The 21,963-nt window shown below is 41.3% G+C and overlaps 2 protein-coding genes across 12 annotated transcripts in view, besides 2 other annotated features; one reads left to right on the top strand and one right to left on the bottom strand.

Moving 5' to 3' along the window:
* The window catches only part of DCAF6 (DDB1 and CUL4 associated factor 6), a 212,261-nt gene that overhangs the window by 160,865 nt on the left and 29,433 nt on the right, over nt 1–21,963 (bottom strand). The window lies entirely within an intron of this gene.
* Nucleotides 457–1,133: an enhancer, noted in NCBI's record as "H3K27ac-H3K4me1 hESC enhancer chr1:167883077-167883753 (GRCh37/hg19 assembly coordinates)". NCBI's record gives its function as "activates a minimal SCP1, AML or CMV promoter by ChIP-STARR-seq in primed H9 embryonic stem cells {active_cell/tissue: H9 hESC(primed)}" and the evidence as "EXISTENCE:reporter gene assay evidence [ECO:0000049][PMID:30033119]".
* The window catches only part of ADCY10 (adenylate cyclase 10), a 104,749-nt gene continuing 83,623 nt past the window's right edge, over nt 838–21,963 (top strand). For 7 of the 11 annotated variants that reach the window (XM_011509763.4, XM_006711449.5, NM_018417.6 and 4 more), the window contains exons 1-8: nt 838–996; nt 9,774–9,979; nt 10,981–11,085; nt 12,918–12,956; nt 13,167–13,310; nt 15,344–15,549; nt 18,281–18,377; nt 21,031–21,119. In XM_011509763.4, coding sequence (XP_011508065.1) covers nt 9,832–9,979; nt 10,981–11,085; nt 12,918–12,956; nt 13,167–13,310; nt 15,344–15,549; nt 18,281–18,377; nt 21,031–21,119 — 828 coding nt within the window. In that variant the 5' untranslated portion in view covers nt 838–996; nt 9,774–9,831. Of the gene's footprint in view, nt 997–5,108; nt 5,249–9,773; nt 9,980–10,980; nt 11,086–12,917; nt 12,957–13,129; nt 13,311–15,343; nt 15,550–18,280; nt 18,378–21,030; nt 21,120–21,963 lie in introns of all 11 variants that reach the window. The other 4 variants (XM_011509760.4, NM_001297772.2, XM_011509762.4 and 1 more) reach the window with 4 other exon arrangements.
* Nucleotides 1,134–1,810: an enhancer, noted in NCBI's record as "H3K27ac-H3K4me1 hESC enhancer chr1:167882400-167883076 (GRCh37/hg19 assembly coordinates)". NCBI's record gives its function as "activates a minimal SCP1, AML or CMV promoter by ChIP-STARR-seq in primed H9 embryonic stem cells {active_cell/tissue: H9 hESC(primed)}" and the evidence as "EXISTENCE:reporter gene assay evidence [ECO:0000049][PMID:30033119]".

Genomic DNA, 21,963 nt, shown 5'->3' with positions numbered 1-21,963 from the left:
GACTGGTTTCCACAACTCACACCAGAAAATTCACTCAATGAACATAATTAAATGACCCTCTTGTTTTCCTCCCTAAGACAACTGTGTTTTACAACATTTGGAAGTACACAGTAAACAATTACAGAGCGGGGCTTTATAGGAGAACATGTACAGCTTTTTAAATAAGACTTTTTAAATTCCAATTTTAAAAGCTGTGCCCCTAAATGATAATTGTGGTTGTGATGATATACATAAGAACATTTAGAAAATCAACACATGATTTAAGCTGTTAGAAAACACACCAGCCTCTTAAAATACATTTTTCCAGTGTCACATCAGATAAAGAAAACTCAAATCCAGTGCCCATTGGATTTCAAGTTATCTTTGGGATAAATTTGATTAAAAGCGTGCACTTGACCAGTCAGAAAGGGCAGGTATATAATTCTTCAAACAAAAATTTACCTCACAAATATATCTGAAGGTAAGTATTGAATTTATTATAACTGGTAAATTTCATAGTCCTGGTACAAGCTGTAACCACTATTGACTAAAATTAGGTGTTTGCTTGCTCTGGAGATACTTCTGATGATCACCTACCAACTATTGCCTAATTTCAACCATCCTCCACATGGCCAAGGGAAGAATTGTGTAAACTACTCTGGGGTCATGTCAGTCTCCCCTGACCCTTGCCTCAAATGTGCGGATAAGAGAACCTGAAACAGCCAGTCCTTCCTTGTACAGTAGTAGGCCACTCAGGTTGGTGGGGGAGGGGACGGCAGTGCCACCCAATCAGAAACATGGTCGGTGCCCGTGGAACAATGAGCTACTGATGAGGGTGTGGCCTGGAAAACGGCTTTTAGACAAAACTGTCATTTTATGGGTCAGCTATAGACAGACATGGCGCTTCAGCTGTCTTCAGAATAATGTCACCCGGCCTCCTCTCCTGTCTTCTGCAGTCTTAAAAGACCTAGTCCCTAACTGAGGTCTGGCTTTTCCTCAGCCCTGGATGAAGTGGAGGTATGTGGAAGTAAGAGTCTCAGCAGAAAGATTGATTGCAGAGCTGAAGATGAGGGCGACCGTCAGGAAAGAAGACAGCTATTGCAGAGGAGTGGGAAGCCTGGGGCTAGAAGTCAGGGTTCAAGTTTGTGTATACCTCTGTGTCAGTCCCTTACATGAGCTTAGAAGCTTGAAGGCTTAAATATTGCCTCACCTTCTCAACCTGGATGCTCTGTCTTTCTAGCTTACTTTCTTTATTTGCCTCTTTTCTGCAGTTTCTCACGTGATATCCTCCTTTTTATCAGTCAACAACTACCAAGTGCCTACCTCTTGAAGGGGGCTCTGGCAAGGTGCTGTGGAGTAAACAAAGATATGTAGAAGATGGTTCCAAACGGGGAGCTTACAATTCAGATGAAGACAAAATAGAAGCAATTCAAAAGATAATCAAGGATATTTGTATGGGAAATAAGCCACTTAAGTGTAGACATTAAGAGCCACAATAGCTCAGAAGAAAAATTACCATGGCTAGAGTAGGCAAGCAAGCTTTCATGACAGGTAACACTGTGCCTTTAAGTTCAGAGTATCTCCCTCTTTGGACTCGTGAAACCTGACTTTACATGTAGGTGAAAAGTTGAATATAAAATCTATTAGGAAATTCTAGAGGAGAGATTTAGAGAAACTGATGAATATAATCGAACCCTAATTTCTCTTTTCATTTTTGGGTACTACTGAGTTTTCTTTACTCACACTCCGCATTCAGGAATCCTTCTTGGTTTATCTTTCGGGCCTCATTCGCCTGCTTGCCTTTTGACTCAGGTATCCTCATTTCTCATTCCAAGGTGCTTCCGCGCTTTGTCAGTACCCATGCTGTTCATGCTGTATTCTTGATGTGATAGAATTGGCTGAACAGTTGATAAGGGTACCATCAACATGCATTGAAAGTGCTCTTAAATTAAACCTACATCTTTTGTCTAGGTCATATACATCCCCAAAGTGCTATAAAGCGTATACAAATGGGATATAGCATGATATAGTAGAAACAACAGGGACTTTCAAGTCCCACAGACCTGGATATTCCAGCTTTATAACCCAGAGCAAGTTAATACCTCTGTGCTTCAGTTTTCATATCTATAGAAATCAGGTCTACTTCATAGCGCTGTTTGGATGATTAAATGAGGCAACCTATGTAGAATTGATACGGCTCCGATGAGTGGAGGAACACCAAGGTTCTTAGTCCTCATCCCGGTTTAGATAAAACGACACAGACACATGTGGAGTGATTTTAAGGATCGGAGAGTTTAATAGGCAAGAAGGAAGAGGAAAGAGGGAAGAAGCTCCCCCATACAGAGACAGAGGGAGGGGGGCTCCAAAGCCGAGAGAGGGAACCCCCAGTGGGGTGGACGTCAGCTAGGTATATATTACAGACGCTGGAGGAGGCAGTGTCTGATTTGCATAGGGTTCAGGGGATTGGTTTGACCAGGCATGTCATTCACAAAGCCCTTGAAAAAGCTAGCCCTCTCACCCTAGCCTTTTAATATGCAAATGCAGGGTGCCATGATGTTCTACACACGTGGGAGTATGTGGAGGTGGCCATGTTGCCAGGAACATGTGGGGCAAGGGAAAGAAGGCCTCCGGAATCGCCATGTTGGGTGGGCCCTGTTTCTAATGGCCTTCATTTGCTTATCAAAGGTTGCCGGCCTGGCTCTAAGAGCCAAGGCTTTACAAGAAATTTTCTGGAGATGCTTTAAAAAATGAAAATTTCCCAAGGACCCCTTTTCCTCTCTATCTGCCTAAAATAATTTCTTAATAACTCCTACAATAGAATGCTTCACATAAAAAGGTCATAATAAATTATAATTACAATGTGGTATGTGCCTGTAGAAAGGTAAATACAGCTATCACTAATCATTTTGTGATGTTGCAGAACTTAAAGCAGAAAACTATATCTTCAAAAATAGAAAATTTCTATTGTCTTTTATGGGTGTTCATAAGAAACTCCCAGATATTTATTTTAGATCTCCCTGCCTTTTAAACCTATCATTTTCTTCTTTTAGTTTCACATCTACATATGCCATCTTAATCTCAAAATGCATGTACTTTCCTTGTTTGGTCATCATAAACAGAAAAATCTGTCCAAGTTCATTCACATCACCTTAATTAAAACAATAGAATCTTAACAATCATCTAATTCATCTCTACACTGACTAAAATCACCTCTGTTTGAAACGCTTGTTCTCCAATGCCATAAAGAAATAGCACTTGAACATAAATTTATTTAGTAAGGGCATTTTTACTTCCTGCAGAGAGGGTATACTCGCCAGCAGTTTTGCCACGAGAGTACACTGAACAAAGGAGACGGGGTCATTTATAACCTGACACGTTCACCCTACTGCCCATTGGCCGGAACAGGACCTCACATTCTGTATTTGTCCCGATCGGCTAGCAACTTAGAACTTTTAAAAGAGGCAAAGGTAGAGGAGAACAAAAGAAGGAGGAAGTAACTTGTGGAATGCTGAGAAAAGTAAAAATACTTTTAAATAAGGAAGAGGAACAGGCTATGACCTAATGGTTGCTTGGACCAGTATAAGCATGCCAGGGCAAATATTTAGGCTACATTGTGGGAGCCAAGAACATAAAGTACATTGATTTCTTTATTATGGCTAGCAGATATTTAAGAATGTTAGCACAGGTCTTTGAATAAATTTTGCTTTTAAGATAAGTTACTATTTATTCCTAATTAGACGGGGAGGAAAGTCTTTGAAGAGGAACCTCTACTTTACTTTTTATACCTCTACCCTCACAGGTAGATAGCTATTCAACACTTCCTAAAACTGCCCAGTTTGAACACTCATTCTTACATTGTTTATATTTGTCCTTCGGTGATTGCCAGTCATTGATCCTAGTTGATCCTGAGCAACAAAGAATAAACCTAACCCACTTTCCATCCAGTGTTAACAACTTTAGCAAAACAGTCTATACTATGCATGTGAGGAGAGTGTGGTATTGCCAAGATTGAAGGGGCTGATAGTAGGGCTGCTAGAAAGAATGCAATGTTTGGAATATATTTATACTAAAAAATTGTTTATTTAAAATTCAGATTTAACTGAGCATCCTCTGTTTTCATTAGCTCAGTCTTTCAATCTTACAAGCTTGGTAGCTAAAGAAGTCAAAGTTGAGCCAGTGAACTGGGGGCAGGAGAGGGAAGAATAGAGCTACGCCCTGCTCAGTTCTGCTCAGTCCTATCTTAGTTCTCTGGCTACTCAGCACATCTGTGGAAGCCACTTCAGAGCACCCATGCCTACGGAACATACTGTTTACAGTCACTTATTCTTTGATAACTAGCTCCCTCCACTGAAGAAAAACACACCAACTTTCCTTTCCCACTGCATACTTCCCATGAACTTTAATCTTGCTAACCCAAACCAAATTTCTACCTCAAGGAGAAGGTAGGGAAGTTGTTCTTTGATTGCAGGGTCCCACATTACACCTTGCATACACACCCATGTCCCCCACTTAGCCCACGTCCACCACTTACCCCACAACTTTCACAGTTCAGCCCAAATATTTGAAGACAACTACAATTTTAACCAAAATGTCATAATTTTCTGACTTATTTCCAGTCTCTGCCATCATTCCTCACATTCCAGAGTCAATGAATTTTAAAGAGGTCAATGAACTTCAGTCCTCTGGATTAGATTTGAACACTTTTATGTATCTTAAAATTGCATTGCATCCAAATAGCTAGTTAACATATGAAAAGGTGCTTAATCTCCTTAGTACCAACAAGGAAACACAAAACCACAGATACCATTGTAGCAGGACGAGCCACAGACAAAACCCCTTAGACACCCGGGTTAAAGAAGGAAGAGGCTTTATTCGGCTGGGAGCATTGGCAGACTTGCATCTCAAGAACTGAGGTCCCCAAAGAAACAGTTCCTGGCCCTTTTAAGGGCTTAGAGCTGTGAGGGGTTCCACGTGAAAGGGTCATAATAGATTGAGATCTGTAGATAGCACATGTGGTTAGAATGGGGGTTAATCTTTTAACCTCAGACCTGGTCATCAGTGGCGCCGGCTGGTCTTGCCACTGACTTCATTCCTGTGTTTTTCAGCTTTTACTTCCTCTTTCTCTTCAGAGACAAGAGACAGTAAGAGAAATGGCCTGTCTCCTCACCACCACTTACCTAGCAAGATGACTAAAAGTTGAAAAGCCTGACAAAATAAGTGTTGGCTGAGATATGTAGCAACTGAACTGTCATACCTTGCCTGAGGGAGTGTAAGTTGGTACCATCACTTTGGAAAGCTGTTTAGCAAGATCTACTCAAGCAGGGGTATCCAATCTTTCGGCTTCCCTGGGGCACAATTGGAAGAGGAAGAATCATCTTGGGCCACACATAAAATAATACTAACAATAATGATAGCTGATGAGCTAAGAAAAAAAAATCACAAAAAAATCTCATAATGTTTTAAGAAAGTTTACAAATTTGTGTTGGGCTGCATTCAAAGCCATCCTGGACCGCATGTGGCCCACAGGACATAGCTTGGACAAGCCTGTACTAAAGTTTAACATGTGTATACCCTATGACCCAGCAATTCCACTCCTGTGTATATACCCAGGAGAAATGCATACATCTTTTCACCAAAACACATGAATAAGAATGTTCTTAGCACCATTATTCATAATGGTCTAAAAGTGGGAACAACCCACAGGTCAATAGTATAGTGGATAAATGTTTTGTGGTATATTCCATCAGGTGATGGAATACTATATAGCATTGAAAATGAACAATTATTGATATACAACAACATGGATGAATATCACAAACACAAAATATGTAGTATGATTTCATTTATATAAAGTTTGAAAACTGGCAAAGGTGATCTATGTTGTTAGAAATAAGAAAGGTTACCTTCAGGGAAAAGAGAAGGGTAGTGACTTGAAGGTGGCATGAGAAAAACTTCTGGAAAGCTGGTAATGTTTTCCTTCTTGCTATGAATGGGTATTACACGGATTTGCTCACCTTAGAGTAATTCAAGCTATACACTTATGATTTGTACATTTTCCTACATGTATGTTATGCTTCAATAAAAGTTTTTTAAAAGATAGCACTAATTTGCAGTAAATCTAGTTTTTTAGCACCTCGTGCTTATGCATTTGATTTTGTTAAAAACTCTAAACACAGCACTTTGCACTTATTCTTTTGAAATTTCATTATTTTGGTTGATTAAGATGTATTAAAATCCTAGCTCTGTCATCAGTGCATTAGTTCTCTCACTATATTTTCAAATTTTATTTTCCCTCAGCTTTATTAAGGCAAAAATGACAAAAAGTGTACATATTTATGGTGTACAATGTGATGTTTTAATATATGTATACATTATGAAATAATTAAATCAAGGTAATTAACGTATCATCTCACATACTTAACATTTTTGTGTGGTGAGAACAGTTAAGATCTACTCTCTTAGCCATTTTGAAGTATATAATACTTTATTAACTGTATTCACCTTGCTCTAGGTTAGATCTCCAGGACTTTTTCATTGGGTCTAATTGAAACTTTGTATCCTTCAGCCACCAACATCTCATTCCACCCACCCAACCCCAGCCTCAGGCATCACCATTCTACTCTGCTTCTATGATTTTGACTTTTTTAGATTCCATATATAAGTGAGATCGTTCAATATTTTTGTCTTTCTGTGGCCGGCTTATTTCACTTAACATAAGGCCCTCCAGGTTCATCCACACTATCATACAAGAAAGAATTTCCTTCTGTTTTACGGCTGAATAGTACTCCATTGTATACATTATCCAATGTTTTCTTTATCCATTCATATGTTGATGAACAATTAGGTTGGTTCCATATCTTGGCTATTGTGAATAGTGCTGAAATAAACATGGGAGTGCAGGGATACTGATTTCAATTCCTTTGGGTATATACCCAGATGTGGGATTGTTAGATCATATGGTAGTTCTATTTTTAATTTTTTAGGAACCTGCATATTATTTTCCATAATGGCCGTACTTTCAATTATATCTTTATCAAAGTCTTCTATCGTGCCCATGGAGGCTTACCTCTGAGTTGACACCAGAATACTAATCAATTTCCATTAGGTGTGATTGCTAACCAGCCAATTATATTTTCTTTATTCCTATAATTTTGTATATTTTACTCACAAGGATATGAGAAATTTGGCCAAATGCCTTAAAGTCAATATATACATTGTCTATAGCAGTCTCTTGATTTAAAAGTTTAATAACTCTTCCAAAATAGGAAATAATGTTGGCTTGCTCTTGGCTCTGAATCCATTTGACTCCTTTTAATCACCTCTTGCTAATCTAAATAACCATTGAGGCTGCTCCCAAATATTCCAACTCTCTTTCCTATTGTGCACATGGTAGGAGTGCACTTCCCTGTCTACTTGAAACTAGGCATGGTCATGTAATTTGCTTTGGTCAATGCCATGAGTAAAAGTGAAATACGTCACTTCTGGGAGTAGAATGAGTATACTCCACTACATCCTCTTTCCCACTACCTTGACAACCAGAATATTCCAGTTTGGGTCCCAAAGTGAAGGCAAAAACAGAGGAGAACCCCATACAACCCACAAGGGACATGTAGTGTGAGCAAGAAATGAACAAGAAATAAGCCTTTGTTATTTCAAGCCATTGAGATTTCAAAGTTATTTGATAATGAAACATAACCTGTATTATCTCAACAAATACATTATGTTTACTGGTCTGTGTTTTCTGGGATCCATGAGTAGCCTCATCTTTTGAAATTCAAAAGAGAATGTGCCCATCTATGGTATTCCAGCCCATCTCTTGTTCTCCATGGTTTTTTGAGATTACTGACATTACACCTGTCAGTTCTTTCAGTATCTGTAGATATATGTTGTCTGGGACTAGCTAGAATTTATTTAAAATGACTGTGTGCTTTAGCACTACTTATCTTGGATTTCAATTCTTTCTTAGCAATGCTTGTTATACTTTTCAATCCTCCATGGTGGAGAAGGTAGAAACAAAAGAAAAGGTGTATGGTACACCATACTTAAGCTTCATCCTTATTCCTCTTTTATTAATTACCTTGTTTTCAACAAAGCCTTTAAAAATCCCTCTAGGTTTTCTTAACTTTAGCATTTTTTGTAAGTCTTTCATTCTCGACATTCAATTTTCTTGTACCTTTCTTTTTATTATCATTATTATTATTTTAGAGATGGAGTCTCACTCTGTCACCTAGGATAGAGTGCAGTGACACGATCTCAGCTCCTTGCAGCCTTGACCTCCTGGGCTCAAGCCATCCTCCCACCTCAGCCTCCTGAATAGCTGGGACTACAGGTGCATGCCACCACACCCAGCAATTTTTTTTTTTTTTTTTTGTAGAGATGGGATTTCACTATGTTGCCCAAGCTGGTCTCGAACTCGGGCTCAAGCAATACTCCTGTGTAGGCCTCCCAAAGTGCTGGGATTATAGGCACAAACCACTGCATCTAGCATCTCACACCCTTCTTAAAAGTTCATATAGCACCAAATTTACTATCTGAAGTTATTTATTTGATTTAATTTTATCTATTGACTGTTCCTGGCACATGCTGTGGTCTTTTGCTGCATTTTTAATGCTACCCTTTTTTTTTTTAAACCTTAGTTATATGTTTCTTTCTTTTGTTCACTTCTTAACATTTGAGTTTGCCAGGACTTTTCCTTTTAAAGGTTATCCAATATGTAACATTTAGCACTCATTTTTTAGAATACTAAATACATTTTTAAATGTATACTATATACATTTTAAAGTTTGTCTGTTAAATGTACAAATATTTTTCCCTGAGTTATTTTTTAAATACTTCCCCTTAAATCTAAGGGATATAAGCGACTGTCTCAATTTTTTCCTCTAATACTCTAATATATCCCAATATGACCTACTAACAAGTTCCTCTCTGCTGGTCAGAATTAAACCAAAAATAACAGTTCCTTTTCTTAAAAAAACAAATCCTCTTATATTTTCTGTATAACCTATTCCAGTAACTTGGATTGCTCTGAAAAAGTAAAGGGTGTTTGCTTTTACTGTTCAGGCTGGTAGAGCATGATTTTTACAACATTTAGGCATGAGCATTTAATCTGCCCCAGCAGCTACAGGAAGGCCTTAGGAAATCCTAGTTTTCTCAGAACTAACTGGGCAACAAATTGAAATTTCAGCATTTCCTTCCATTTACAGCTTAAGGTCTTCCATCTTTCCAGCTGCCACACACACACACACACACACACATTTCTGAACTCTTTTCTTCCATTTATTTAACATTATACCTTTATAGTCTTAATCTCTTGCCTATATACAAAACTCTAATACTCACTTACATATAAATACACTCACACACACGAATCACATCTACACTTTTTTTTTTTTTAAAGAGAGAAAAAAGTAAAAGACCAAGGTAGAGAGAGGGTAAAAGGAAACATGAGGACAGAAGAAAAAGAAGTCTGGCCTGAGTGAATAGAGCTTAACAGCCCACTACAACTGGACTTGCCCTGCGAGGGCCTACCCCTTCCTGCAAATGAGTTGAGCCGTTCAGCTACCCTCTTTCACCCCAGCCTCTTTGTAATGGAGCTCACTTATGCAACAGCTGTTCAGGGTGGGAGGGTTCTTCCTCTGTATAGAAATTGGCCCTTTTGAAGTGTGGCTCAACAACTCTGGCATTTTCACCACTATAAGCAGGCCGCAGGTTAGAACAAAACAAATGGAGAAAGAGCAATAGGAAAATGAGCAAATGAATATATCAGATTTCCTCTATTTCAATTTTCTTTTTAGAAGACCTATTTGGAGACTGCTTCCTGTCACCATAAAATCCTGAACATTTGTCTTGAACATGAACACTCCAAAAGAAGAATTCCAGGACTGGCCCATAGTCAGAATAGCAGCTCATTTACCAGACCTCATTGTCTATGGACATTTCTCCCCAGAGCGACCCTTTATGGATTATTTTGACGGAGTCCTGATGTTTGTTGATATTTCAGGCAAGTGCAAAAGGGATGTTTGTTTAATGTGGATGAGCAACAGGCTCGCGTGGGAATTCACATGCAGAGCTTGATTGCAGAGTAGGGAGGCCATTCTGGAGCCCTTGGGCTGTCACAGCAGATGTGCTCCACTGAGAACACAAGAGGGAGGAAATAGCTTGTGGCCCTGGCTCTCTCTCATCCTCCCTTACTCAGGACTGCCAGTCATAGGCATATCTTTAACATGCTCAAGTCCCATTCTTTGCTCCAGTATCTCTGCCCCAACTTCACTGACTCATCCTCTCCAGCCCCAAGCCCCATACACATCCCAGTCAAAATTGACCTCAGGAAATGATCTCCCTAGATGATGTTTACATCTTACTAATAAACTTGCCACCTCTTCAGAAGTGTTTGAAATGTGTGTGTTTTTGTTACCACGGAATGAAAATTTTATTCCCAGTTAAAGAAGTTGCAGTTATCACTGTACAGTTGAGAATTTGGAAGAAAGAAATATCTGGAGCCTTTTCCTGACCCCTAAAATAATAGCTAGAGGAGGCTGCATGTCTGACACTTGACCAGCCACAAAGATCCTTAAGAAGAAACTCTGCCTGTTTTTAAAAGCTGAGGCCACCGGGTTCGGTGGCTCACGCCTGCAATCCCAACACTTTTGGAGGCCGAGGAGGGCGGATCACAAGGTCAGGAGTTCGAGACCATCCTGGCTAACATGGTGAAACCCCATCTGTACTAAAAATACAAAAACGAGCCTGGCATGGTGGCGCACGCTTATAGTCCCAGCTGCTCGGAAGGCTGAGGCAGGAGAATTGCTTGAACCCGGGAGGCGGAGGTTGCAGTGAGCTGAGATCACACCATTGCCCTCCAGCCTGGGCTACAAAGCAAGACTCTGTCTCAAAAAAAAAAAAAAAAAAAAAAAGCTGAGGCCCGCTGCCTTCCAGGGTAGTCCTCTTCTGGCTCTGTTTGATTCCCCCAAGCAGCCAAGGAAACCAGCTGCACATTTATTCCAGGTTTTACTGCAATGACTGAGAAGTTCAGCAGTGCCATGTACATGGACAGAGGGGCTGAGCAGTTGGTGGAGATCCTCAACTACCACATAAGTGCAATAGTGGAGAGTAAGTGTTCCCATAGGTTTCTGGCTTGAGAATATTTCAATTCATTGTTTTTTCCGTAGTTGTCAATTATAACCTGATAGAGTACAATTGCTTAGCACTCCTCCTCTTCCCCATGAAATGTGTATAAAACCAGTCTTTTTTGAAATATGATATAGTATAACTGAAGAAATAAATATAATCAAACCTCACTAATACAGACTATTTGAGGGAAGGGATGTTTTGTGTTAGAGGGCTGAATTATACACTGCTTTTAAAAGAACTGTAGTAGTAATACTTTTAGTTATATATCCAAGTATTTATATTTATTTTTATTTATTTATTTAGAGACAGAGTCTTGCTCTGTCGCCCAGGCTGGAGTGCAGTGGCACAATCTTGGCTCACTGCAACCTTCGCCTCCTGGGTTCAAGCAATTCTCATGTCTCAGCCTCCCGAGTAGCTAGGATTACAGGCGCCCGCCCCCACACCTGTCTAATTGTTGTATTTTTAGTAGAGATGGGGTCTCACCATGTTGGCCAGGCTGGTCTCAAACTCCTGACCTCAAGTGATCCACCTGCCTCAGCCCCCCAAAGTGCTGGGATTACAGGTGAGAGCCAGGGTGCCCGGCTATTTTTATTTATTAATTTTTTTTTTTGAGTCAGAGTCTCACTCTGTCTCCCAGGCTGGAGTGCAGTGGCACGATCTCAGCTCACTGCAGCCTCTGCCTCCCAGGTTCAAGCGATTCTCCTGCCTCAGCCACACACGTAGCTGGGGTTACAGGCGTGCGCCACCATGCCCAGCAATTTTGTATTTTTTTCAGTAGAGATAGGGTTTTACCATGTTGGCCAGGCTGGTCTCTAACTCCTGACCTCAGGTGATCCTCCCACCTCAGCCTCCCAAAGTGCTGGGATTATAGGCGTAAGCCACCATGCCTGGCCTATCCAAGTATTTTTAAAAGCCAGCATCTATAAAACCCAAAGATAGTCATTAAGAGATTGTTGTATGAGTAGATAAATGATTTATAATTAGCTTCTCAATAATTTGTCTCCTAATGATGGATGCTGAAGCACTTAGAGTGAACTGAAAACTTTAGTCCCCTTGTCAACCTCTGCCTGCCATCTTGTTTGCATTGTTAATTCAAACTATTCATGAAGACAACGGTTTACTCTGTTATGGTGAACTCCTGGCCTAGTGTTTTATCAGACTCTGAGTTCCTTAGTAATATCTTGATGTTACCCACTAGACAAAATTTAATGCTTCATAAAAGCAGGAACTATGGTTGATTCCTTTCTGCATCTGACTTGGCACAACAGGTGCTTAACCAATCCATGATGATGCGTAACTAAAAGAGAGAATGGCCATTTATGCCATACCGTCTAAATAAACAAAATACAAAGTTGGTAATAACCAAAAATGCAAGTGACTATGGTTGTGATTTTCCCATTCCCTGACTCCTAGTTTTTGTGGAGTCCTGTCATTCATCCACCCACCCATGCTTACACAAGCCCCAGCCTATAACATATATTGATCAATAAATTAATTAAAAGCATTCCATTATCGTGGGAGGAGGGCAGCTGTCTTCAGACCTCATCAGAAACCCTAGCTGCCTTTCTCCTGTCTTTCCCCATTCACAGAAATGGAGCATAGATGTAAACTGGTTCCACGTACTCATTCTCCACTTGAGGAAACAGACTCAAATGGGTTAAGTGGCTTGTCTGGGATGAGATCTTTAGTATAAGCCTATTCTCTGAATCACTGTTCTTTTGACCTAGTTTCTATTCCACTAAGAAAGAATGATGTTTTTTTACTACCTTTAAGGAATCAGGGTTTGATTTAATTTTTTTTTTTTTTCTCAGAAGTGTTGATTTTTGGAGGAGACATCCTGAAATTTGCAGGTATGGGGGCTTACTAAGATAGAAGGGGTAAGAAAGGAGTGCTGAGGTGCCTGTGCTTCTGTGTTGGGGACAAAGGAGGCATCCTAGAGAAGGGAGTGGCCAGGAGATAGGCTGAGGAATGCTTGATGAGTAAGTTTCTATACAGATCTCATACAAAATAGATTGATCCCCAGGGCAGGTCAAAAGCCCGCGGCATGTCTCTCTCTGAAGGTGATGCACTGCTAGCCCTGTGGAGGGTGGAGCGAAAGCAGCTGAAAAACATTATCACAGTGGTAATTAAATGTAGCCTGGAGATCCATGGATTGTTTGAGACCCAGGAGTGGGAAGAAGGCCTAGACATCCGAGTCAAGATAGGTAAGCATTTGAGAAGGAATAAATCCTACGGCAGCTGGGATAGGGTCTTGACTCCTGGGGCATCTCTCTCTCCCAAAGAGAAGTAGTAGAACATGGTGGCTCAGCCCCATGATGCCCTGAACTTTGGCATCAGGACAATCAGAATGTGAATTTTGGCTTCCTCACATACCAGTTGAGAGAATTTGGGTTAATCATAATATCTACCTAATAAGCTATTACAAAAAGTAAATTAGTTGGTATGGTAGTTAATGCATAGGAACCACCCAATAAAATAGTCTTTATGACTGCTACTGCTGTTATTATTATTCCATCTTGCTGCTTGTCAAGGTTGTGCAGTATAAAACAAAATAGAGACTAGCTTGCCATTACATAGTTTCAGCAACGACATGAGACTGGTCACCCCCTACCTCATAAGAATGAGGTGTAGGAAAAGCTTAACAGGTCAGCCTGCAACACAGCTCCAGCTTTACACAAGGCTTCTTAAAGTTATACATATAATATAGTAATAGTCACACATATTTCCTTATTACATTGCAGACATTACACACTATGCACGTGCAAACATTACGCACACTATATGACAGTCCTGAGATACAGGCATCATTGTATCCATTTCATAGATGAAAAATGAGATTCTGAGAGGTATAAGTAATGAGTAACAGAGTTATGGTTGGTGCTGTTGGTGTTAGCTTCCGCCTAACTAAACTTTGCAAAACTTAGAATTCTCACATGTCATACCTGATAGGATCATCAGCAGTTATACAATTAACTGTTTCTCAGCCTTCTTTAACCTAGGCCCGCTTTTGATGTTGTTAAAAATTTCCAAATAAGGCCAGGTGCAGTGGCTCACACCTGTAATCCCAGCACTTTGGGAGGCCAAGGTGGGTGGATCACCTGAGGTCAGGAGTTTGAGACCAGCCTGACCAACATGGTGAAACCCCGTCTCTACTAAAATACAAAAATTAGCCAGGCGTGATGGCGGGTGCCTGTAATCTCAGCTACTTGGGAGGCTGAGGCAGGAGAATTGCTTGAACCCAGGAGGCGGAGGTTGCAGTGAGCCGAGATGGCGCCATTGCACTCCAGCCTGGGCAACAAGCGTGAAACTCCATCTCAAAAAAAAAAGCCCAAATAAGTTAAATATTTTGTTGAAAAAAAAATCAAAGTTATTATAATACTGAATATTTTTTCTAAGTTAGTACCCAAGGAGTCTGATGTGTTATCCTTCTTGAGAATGATGGGAACCCAGCCCCCTCTTGCATGCTGATTGGCTGTTAGTGAGGTGGGTCCCAGCACCTTTTTTTAGAGTAAGTCCAAACATCAGTGTGTTTCAGATAGAAAACAAACTGTATGTAGAATCAGGGGGGAGTCAGCCCTGACAAATCAGTATAGCAGAGAGCGAAGATAAAAAATAAACATTGATTGTATTACAGTCATTTGAAAGAAATGTGTGTCACTTACAGTTCATTTATACATATATTTTGTGTACATGTCATATTATACAATATCTTCTTCTGTCACTTAGGTTCCAAAACTTTCATTTACCAACTTAAAAGCAATGAGAGAAATGGTTGTTGGGATGGGATGTGTAACTGTCAAATGCATACTTCCTTTCCCCCACCCTTTGTTGTCTAAAATTCAACCCTAAGGGATTATTTTTAGTTACAGCTTCAATCTCTGCTAAAATGCAAATTCTCCCAAAATAAGAATTATTAAAGGTATTCCCTGTTGCCCTTAAGTATACATAATTGAAGAAAAGGTAAAAATAACTTTGGGGACTGGTAGGACCATGTAGTGAGATAATGTTACAGACAGGCAAAATTTAGTGGTAGAACTTTCTAGCTTTGGAAGAAGGGGAGCTTTGGAAGGCCCGAGCCCAAAAGAGGTATGCCATAATTCCTATGTAAAGTTTTAGAAGTGAGATTTTGCTCTGAGATAGTATAGTCCCACCAAGATTATGGTTTTTCCAAAAACCTGTGCTGCTGGGAAATAATCCAGAACTTCTTGTGCAAACCTATTCCTTGCCTTCTTGCCAGGACTGGCTGCTGGCCACATCAGCATGTTGGTCTTTGGAGATGAAACACACAGCCACTTTCTGGTGATTGGTCAGGCAGTGGACGATGTGCGCCTTGCCCAGAACATGGCTCAGATGAATGATGTTATTCTGTCACCAAACTGCTGGCAGCTCTGTGACCGGAGCATGATTGAAATTGAGAGTGTTCCAGATCAGAGAGCAGTTAAGGTGGGTGTGATGCTGCTACTTACAGAAAGTTCTGCCAGCCTGTAACAGAGGCCCCCTGCCAGAAGAGTCACTGGGCACGCTGGTTTCATAAAGCTCCTGGGCTGGAGATTGGGATGGGGTCAGTCTGGGTTAGGCTACAGAGGCTTTAGTCCAGGGCAGCTCCTCTGGGAGGAGCCCAGGCTGGTGAGCTTGAGGAGGAAATGATTAGGCTTCTTTATGGGTAACTGAGGATATGGAATTTGGGGATTGAGGCCTTTTGAGGGGCTAGCGACCTTGCTTAAGGAACCAGAAGGGTCTGCCGGTTCATCCAGGAGCAGAGGGGAATAGTTTTAAAGGCTGTCATTGACCCTCACTTTCTTTACCCAACACCCTCCTAACCCAGGATGAGGGATCACTGAAGGTAAAGGTTGGAGTTGAGCAAGTGCGGCGAAGTTCAGTGATAGAAGAGAGACTTCTCTTCCTGTGGCTCTGCCTAGTAGAAAACATTGTGGTTAAGTTGCAGATTGACTATAAGCAGAACTGTCCCTGGGATATGGACAATTAAAAAAGCTGTGCTTTGAGGGTATGAAAGTGGAAGAAAGGTGTGCTGCTAGATGAGCCAAAGGAATGGGACTACGCGGCAGAAAGAAAGAAAAGACAGAGAATCCGTGCAGATGCTGGTCAAGATAGGAGGCACTCCCACACTCATGCATCAGCCTACAACCCTCACCACCACCACCCACTCCTCACTCTTCCAGCAAGACATATCCAGCCTGCATGGCCTAGCTGGCTTATAGCAATAGCCCATTCCCATGCTCTTCAATCATTCTTTTTTTAAAAAAAAAAAAACGGAGTCTCGCTCTGTTGACCAGGCTAGAGTGCAATGGCGTGATCTCGGCTCACTGCAACCTCCGCCTCCCGGGTTCAAGCAATTCCCTGCCTCAACCTTCCGAGTCGCTGGAATTACAGGTGCCCGCTACCACGCCCAGCTAATTTTTTGTATTTTTAGTAGAGACGGGGTTTCACCATCTTGGCCAGGCTGGTCTTGAACTCCTGACTTCGTGATCCACCCACCTCAGCCTCCCAAAGTGCTGGGATTATAGGTGTAAGCCACCACGCCCAGCCTCTCTTCAATCATTCTTGATACCTTTAAAAATTGTTTTAACTTTGAATTCATGTTAGACTTACAGAAAAGTTGAAAAAATAATACAGAGTTTCCATATATCCCTCACCTACCTTCCCCTAATGTTAACATCTTTCATAACAAGACTGCAATAGTCAAAACCAGGAAATTAACATTGGTACAATACTATGCACTAGTTAAAGACCTTATTTGAATGTCACCAGTTTTCCCACTGTGGTCCACTTAGTGGAATGTTCCAGGACTGTATGCATGATCTCACATTGCATTTTGTTGATTTTTTTTTTTTTTTTTTTTTTTTTTTTGAGACAGAGTCTCTCTCTGTCGCCCCAGGCTTGGAGTGCAGTGGCGCGATCTCGGCTCACTGCAAGCTCCGCCTCCCGGGTTTACGCCATTCCCCTGCCTCAGCCTCCCAAGTAGCTGGGACTACAGGCGCCCGCCAGTACGCCCGGCTAATTTTTTGTATTTTTAGTAGAGACGGGGTTTCACCGTTTTAGCCGGGATGGTCTCGATCTCCTGTCCTCCTGATCCGCCCGCCTCGGCCTCCCAAAGTGCTGGGATTACAGGCGTGAGCCCCTGGCGCCCGGCCTTGTTGATATTTTTGATGTAGTCTCCTGCAGTCTGCAACAGCACTTCAGTGGTTCCGTTGTCTTGCAGTGACCGTGACACAAGAGAGTTGCCAGCCGATGTTGTCACACACATCTCTGGTTAGCACTGCCTGATGCTTTCTCTCATCTCTTCTGCATCTCCAACAACATATCTCTCTCTCTCTCTATATATATATACATATATATATATTTTTTTTTGAGATGGAATCTTACTCTGTCACCCAGTGGGGAGTGAGGTGGCATGATCTCAGCTCACTTCAACCTCTAACTCCCAGTCTCAAGCGATTCTCCCACCACAGCCTCCTGAGTAACTGGGACCACAGACATGTGCCACTACACCTGGCTAATTTTTTTTTTTTTTTGTATTTTTGGTAGAGACAGGATTTCACCATTGTTACCCAGGCTGGTCTCGAACTCCTGAGCTCAAGCAATCTGCCCACCTCAGCCTCCCAAAGTGCTAGGATTACAGGCCTGATGTTTTCTCTTTATTGGACCAAGTTTATGCTTTTTTTTTTTTTTAACCAAGAATACCACAAAAATGAGATCGTGCCATCCTCAGTGTGTCATCACATGTGTCTCATGATCTTGATGTCTTATGACTGGTGATGCTCCTAATTCCTTTTTGGCCATCAGCCCCCGTCCTTTAACACTTATAAGGAAGAAATGGTGTGCAGTTTAACCAGGTTTTATTTGAATTAAAATGTTATGAAGGAAAAAAAGCAGGAAAAAGTTCTAAGGGCAGAAAAGTATAAGATTAGTCCCCCTTGGAATGACCCTCTCTGTACATATACCAAACATTGAGATGTGAGTGAACACTGTAATTGGAAAGATTTTTTAGATTTTCAATTTAAAATTTCAATTTTACAAATCAAATAGTCTTGGTGTTTAAGTGTGCCAATCACTGTTCAGTCAAAAGCATACTCTCTTTCTGCTAAGAAATTACACTTCAAAGGATTAAACAGTTCTCAGAATAACTGAAAACTTCTCATTTGCTTTTATTTAGGTTAACTTCTTAAAACCACCCCCCAATTTTAATTTTGATGAATTTTTCACAAAGTGTACGACCTTCATGCATTATTATCCTTCTGGTGAGCACAAAAGTAAGTACCCACCATGGAAAAATGCCTTTGCCTCTACCAGTGGTCAGTAGGGTCTTATATCAATGCCGACAGCTTCATTACTGGTGGGTGGGCTCCTCAACACAGCTCCTGGTCCTTACCAGCACACAAAGGGGACCTACTTCCCATTCTCCGGGACAGCAATTCTAAGTATGACACTCCCCACACCATCCACCTCTCCCTAGGCACTGACTCCTTTCCCTCATCCATCAAACATTAATAAGTATCCCCTAGGATAAAAGAAAAAGTAAAGCTTCTTTCCGTGCTGCTTTCCCCTCCTAACCTTCACCAATAAACTTCTAGGAAAAGTAATCTGTAAATGTATTTATACCTGCTCTCATGTCCCCTTATTTATTTATTCATCCAATAAATATTGATTGCAAGCACCTTGATGTCTGTGCTCACCTGCTCTTCAGTCTTGCACCGCTGACACCTAGCTTCTACGCTAGTCCCCTGCTGTCTACTGAGACTGTTTATGTCAAGGCCACCAAGGACCATTAATTTGCCAAACCAGGTGACCTCTTCTCAGGCCTCATCCTAGATGGTTGACCATAGCTTATGCTCTTTTCTTGGACACTACCTTCTCCTTTTTCCTTGAGTTCAAAAGTATTATTCTTTTCTAGTTTTGCCTTTACGTCTCAAATCACCTATTTTCAGTCCTCTTTGCTTAGTTTCCTTTCCATGTCTTAAATGTTGGTGACTTCAGGTATCTGTCTTTGACCTTCTAGTCTTCTCTACTCACTTCTTAGTGAACCATTTATTCGTGCTTAACTTCCATATGAGTAAGATGAGGCAAGTGAGAAGACTGTATCACAAAACTTAAGCAGACACTCACTCTCAAGGTCCTGCAAGTTGCTTACATCACCCGAGTCTCAGACCTAACAGCCAGAATTCGCTTCAGTCTTTTGTCCTGAATTCTAGGACAGATTTTTGTCCTGAATTCATAAAAAACAAACAAAATACCCTACCTATGGGCGACTTCCACTGGATGTCAAATAGGCATCTAATATTAACGTATCTGAACTTTAGCTACTTACCCTTCCCTGAAAACTCCATCCAAGTGAGAAACATCAGAAACATCTTTGAATCATTCTTTCTCATCATTTATGTACAGGTCTGGAGTATTTTAGATGTTACAAATAGAAGACTGTACTTTTACAAAGCCACAATAGGCAGTGGGGTGGGGAGTGGGGAGACTGTACAAACATTGATCAGGAAAGGCCAAGAACCTCAGAAGCTCCAGAGATGAAGGAGAAAGCCTCATGACATTACCCACTCCTTGAGCTTTACTAATGCCATCTCCTGGGTCTTAATGGTACCTTCTATAAAGGGTTTCTTCAGGCCTTACTTTGAGCACCATAATACTGCAATGCAATTCCTTTTTTTTTTTTTTTTTGAGATGGAGTCTCACTCTGCCACCAGGTTGGAGTGCACTGGCGCGATATGGGCTCACTGCAACCTCTGCCTCCCGGGTTCAAGCGATTCTCCTGCCTCAGCCTCCTGAGTAGCTGGGAATACAGAGGCGTGCCACCACACCCAGCTAATTTTTGTATTTTTAGTAGAGACAGGGTTTCCCATGTTGGCCAGGATGGTCTCCATCTCTTGACCTCATGATCCGCCTGCCTTGGCCTCCCAAAGTGCTGGGATTACAGGTGTGAGCCACCGTGCTCGGCCTGCAGTGCAATTCTGATGTTATAACCACCTGGAGTTAGTGCAGGATTTCATTGGTTGAATCCTCTACAAACTTCAGACACTAGCTGCAAGCTCTGGGATCCCCAGACCACCGGCACTTCTGACCAACTACCTACAAATCTGGGGATCTCCTTAATGCCCTCAGGTTCAGTAATTCACTGAAATGACTCACAGAACTCAGCAAAGTGCTACACTTACAGTTATGGTTTTATTATAAAGGCTACAAATCAGGACCAGCCAAATTAAACACACACACACACACACATTTTTTTTCACATTATCATTTTCTTCCCTGCTGAAAACCCTTTGCCATTTCTGTCTCCCTTATTTTTTGACTCCCTCAAACTCATTCCTACCATCTCTTATCAGTCTATCCTAGAGCATAAAACTATCAATCTTTATAGTGAAGGGAACCACAGAGATCATGAAGCTCAACTACTCTTTTCCCAGGTGAGGAAATAGGAGGCAACCAGGGCAGCAAAGTGACTTCTCCAGGGTCACACAGTGAAGCGGTATCAAGCCTGAGATCAGAAACCAGTCTTCTTAATGTTATTCCTGCTGCCCTTTCAACTCTACCATCCCCTTCATTCTGTCACCATGCTCCTCTCTTGTCATTCCCTCATTTGTTTGTTCCCATCTCCTGTGGCAATAGTTCTAAACCAAGTTCAGAAGTGAAAATCTCCCTAAGTCCCAAAGCGTCATGTCAGTTTGAACAAGGTTTTGAGCTACATGTGACTGAATTTTGGGAAACCTTTAACCTCTAAGAGCTCCTCTTTGGATTTCCCCTGGCCCTTTCAGCCCCTAGGTGTCCCAGAGTCTCCTGACAACTGTAAGGACAAGAAGGCCCACTGCCCAAGAGAATAGGGACTGGGAGCCTCCTCTCACTAGCACTGCAGAGCCAAACTTCCCTCTCTGAGCCTGCACCCTCCTTCTGCCTTCTTAGACCTCCTGAGGCTTGCATGCACGCTGAAGCCTGATCCTGAACTGGAGATGTCCCTACAAAAGTATGTGATGGAAAGCATTTTGAAGCAGGTATTTTCAAAATTGAATTTACTGGCTTTGGGGATGTCAGGGATCTGGACAGCTGGAATTTTAAGATTTAAGAAAAAAAAAACAGCAGCTACTAGTAAATAGTAAAATGTTCCATTAAAATAAAAAGACTTCCTTTTTTTTTTTTTTTTTTTTTTTTGAGACAGAGTCTCACTCTGTCACCCAGGCTGAAGTGCAGCAGCATGATCTTGGCTCACTGCAACCTCCGCCTCCCGGGTTCAAGCAATTCTCCTGCCTCAGCCTCCCACATGCGCCACCACACCCAGCTAACTTTTTGTATTTTTAGTAGAGATGGAGCTTCACCATGTTGGCCTGACTGATCTCAAATTCCTGACCTCAAGAAATCTGCCCGCCTCACCCTCCCACAGTGCTGGGATTATGGGCATGAGCCACCACACTGAGCCTAAAAAGACATTCTCTATATGTAGGTGACTGTGAAATTCATTGTTCAAATCTCAATACTTTCAAAGAGATCATTATTCATAATTATAATATGACAACAGGCATAAAATAGGACTGCGTTGCCTTATATAATTGCGCAAATGGGAGCTGTTGCAAGCATATAAGAACATGCGGGCACCCTTTCTATATGCCACATAGCAGAAAGACTTCAAGTGGATGAACATTGGTACACTATTTCTCCAAGTCATTTGCATTAGCTCTTAAGTTTTGAGATTTAACAATGCAGGTAATTAGAATACTCTGAGCTACCTCCACCCTCCAATATTTTCTCTTTTTATTCTCTTAATCTTGGTTCTCTCAAATTTATTATTCCATGTGAATTATAACTATCTCTTATCACTCACCATATGCCAGTCACTCTGCT

This window comes from Homo sapiens, chromosome 1 (assembly GCF_000001405.40).
Source record: "Homo sapiens chromosome 1, GRCh38.p14 Primary Assembly".
Taxonomy (NCBI): domain Eukaryota; kingdom Metazoa; phylum Chordata; class Mammalia; order Primates; family Hominidae; genus Homo; species Homo sapiens.
The sequence above is the reverse complement of the archived record's forward strand: the minus strand, read 5'-3'. Positions and strand labels throughout refer to the sequence as shown.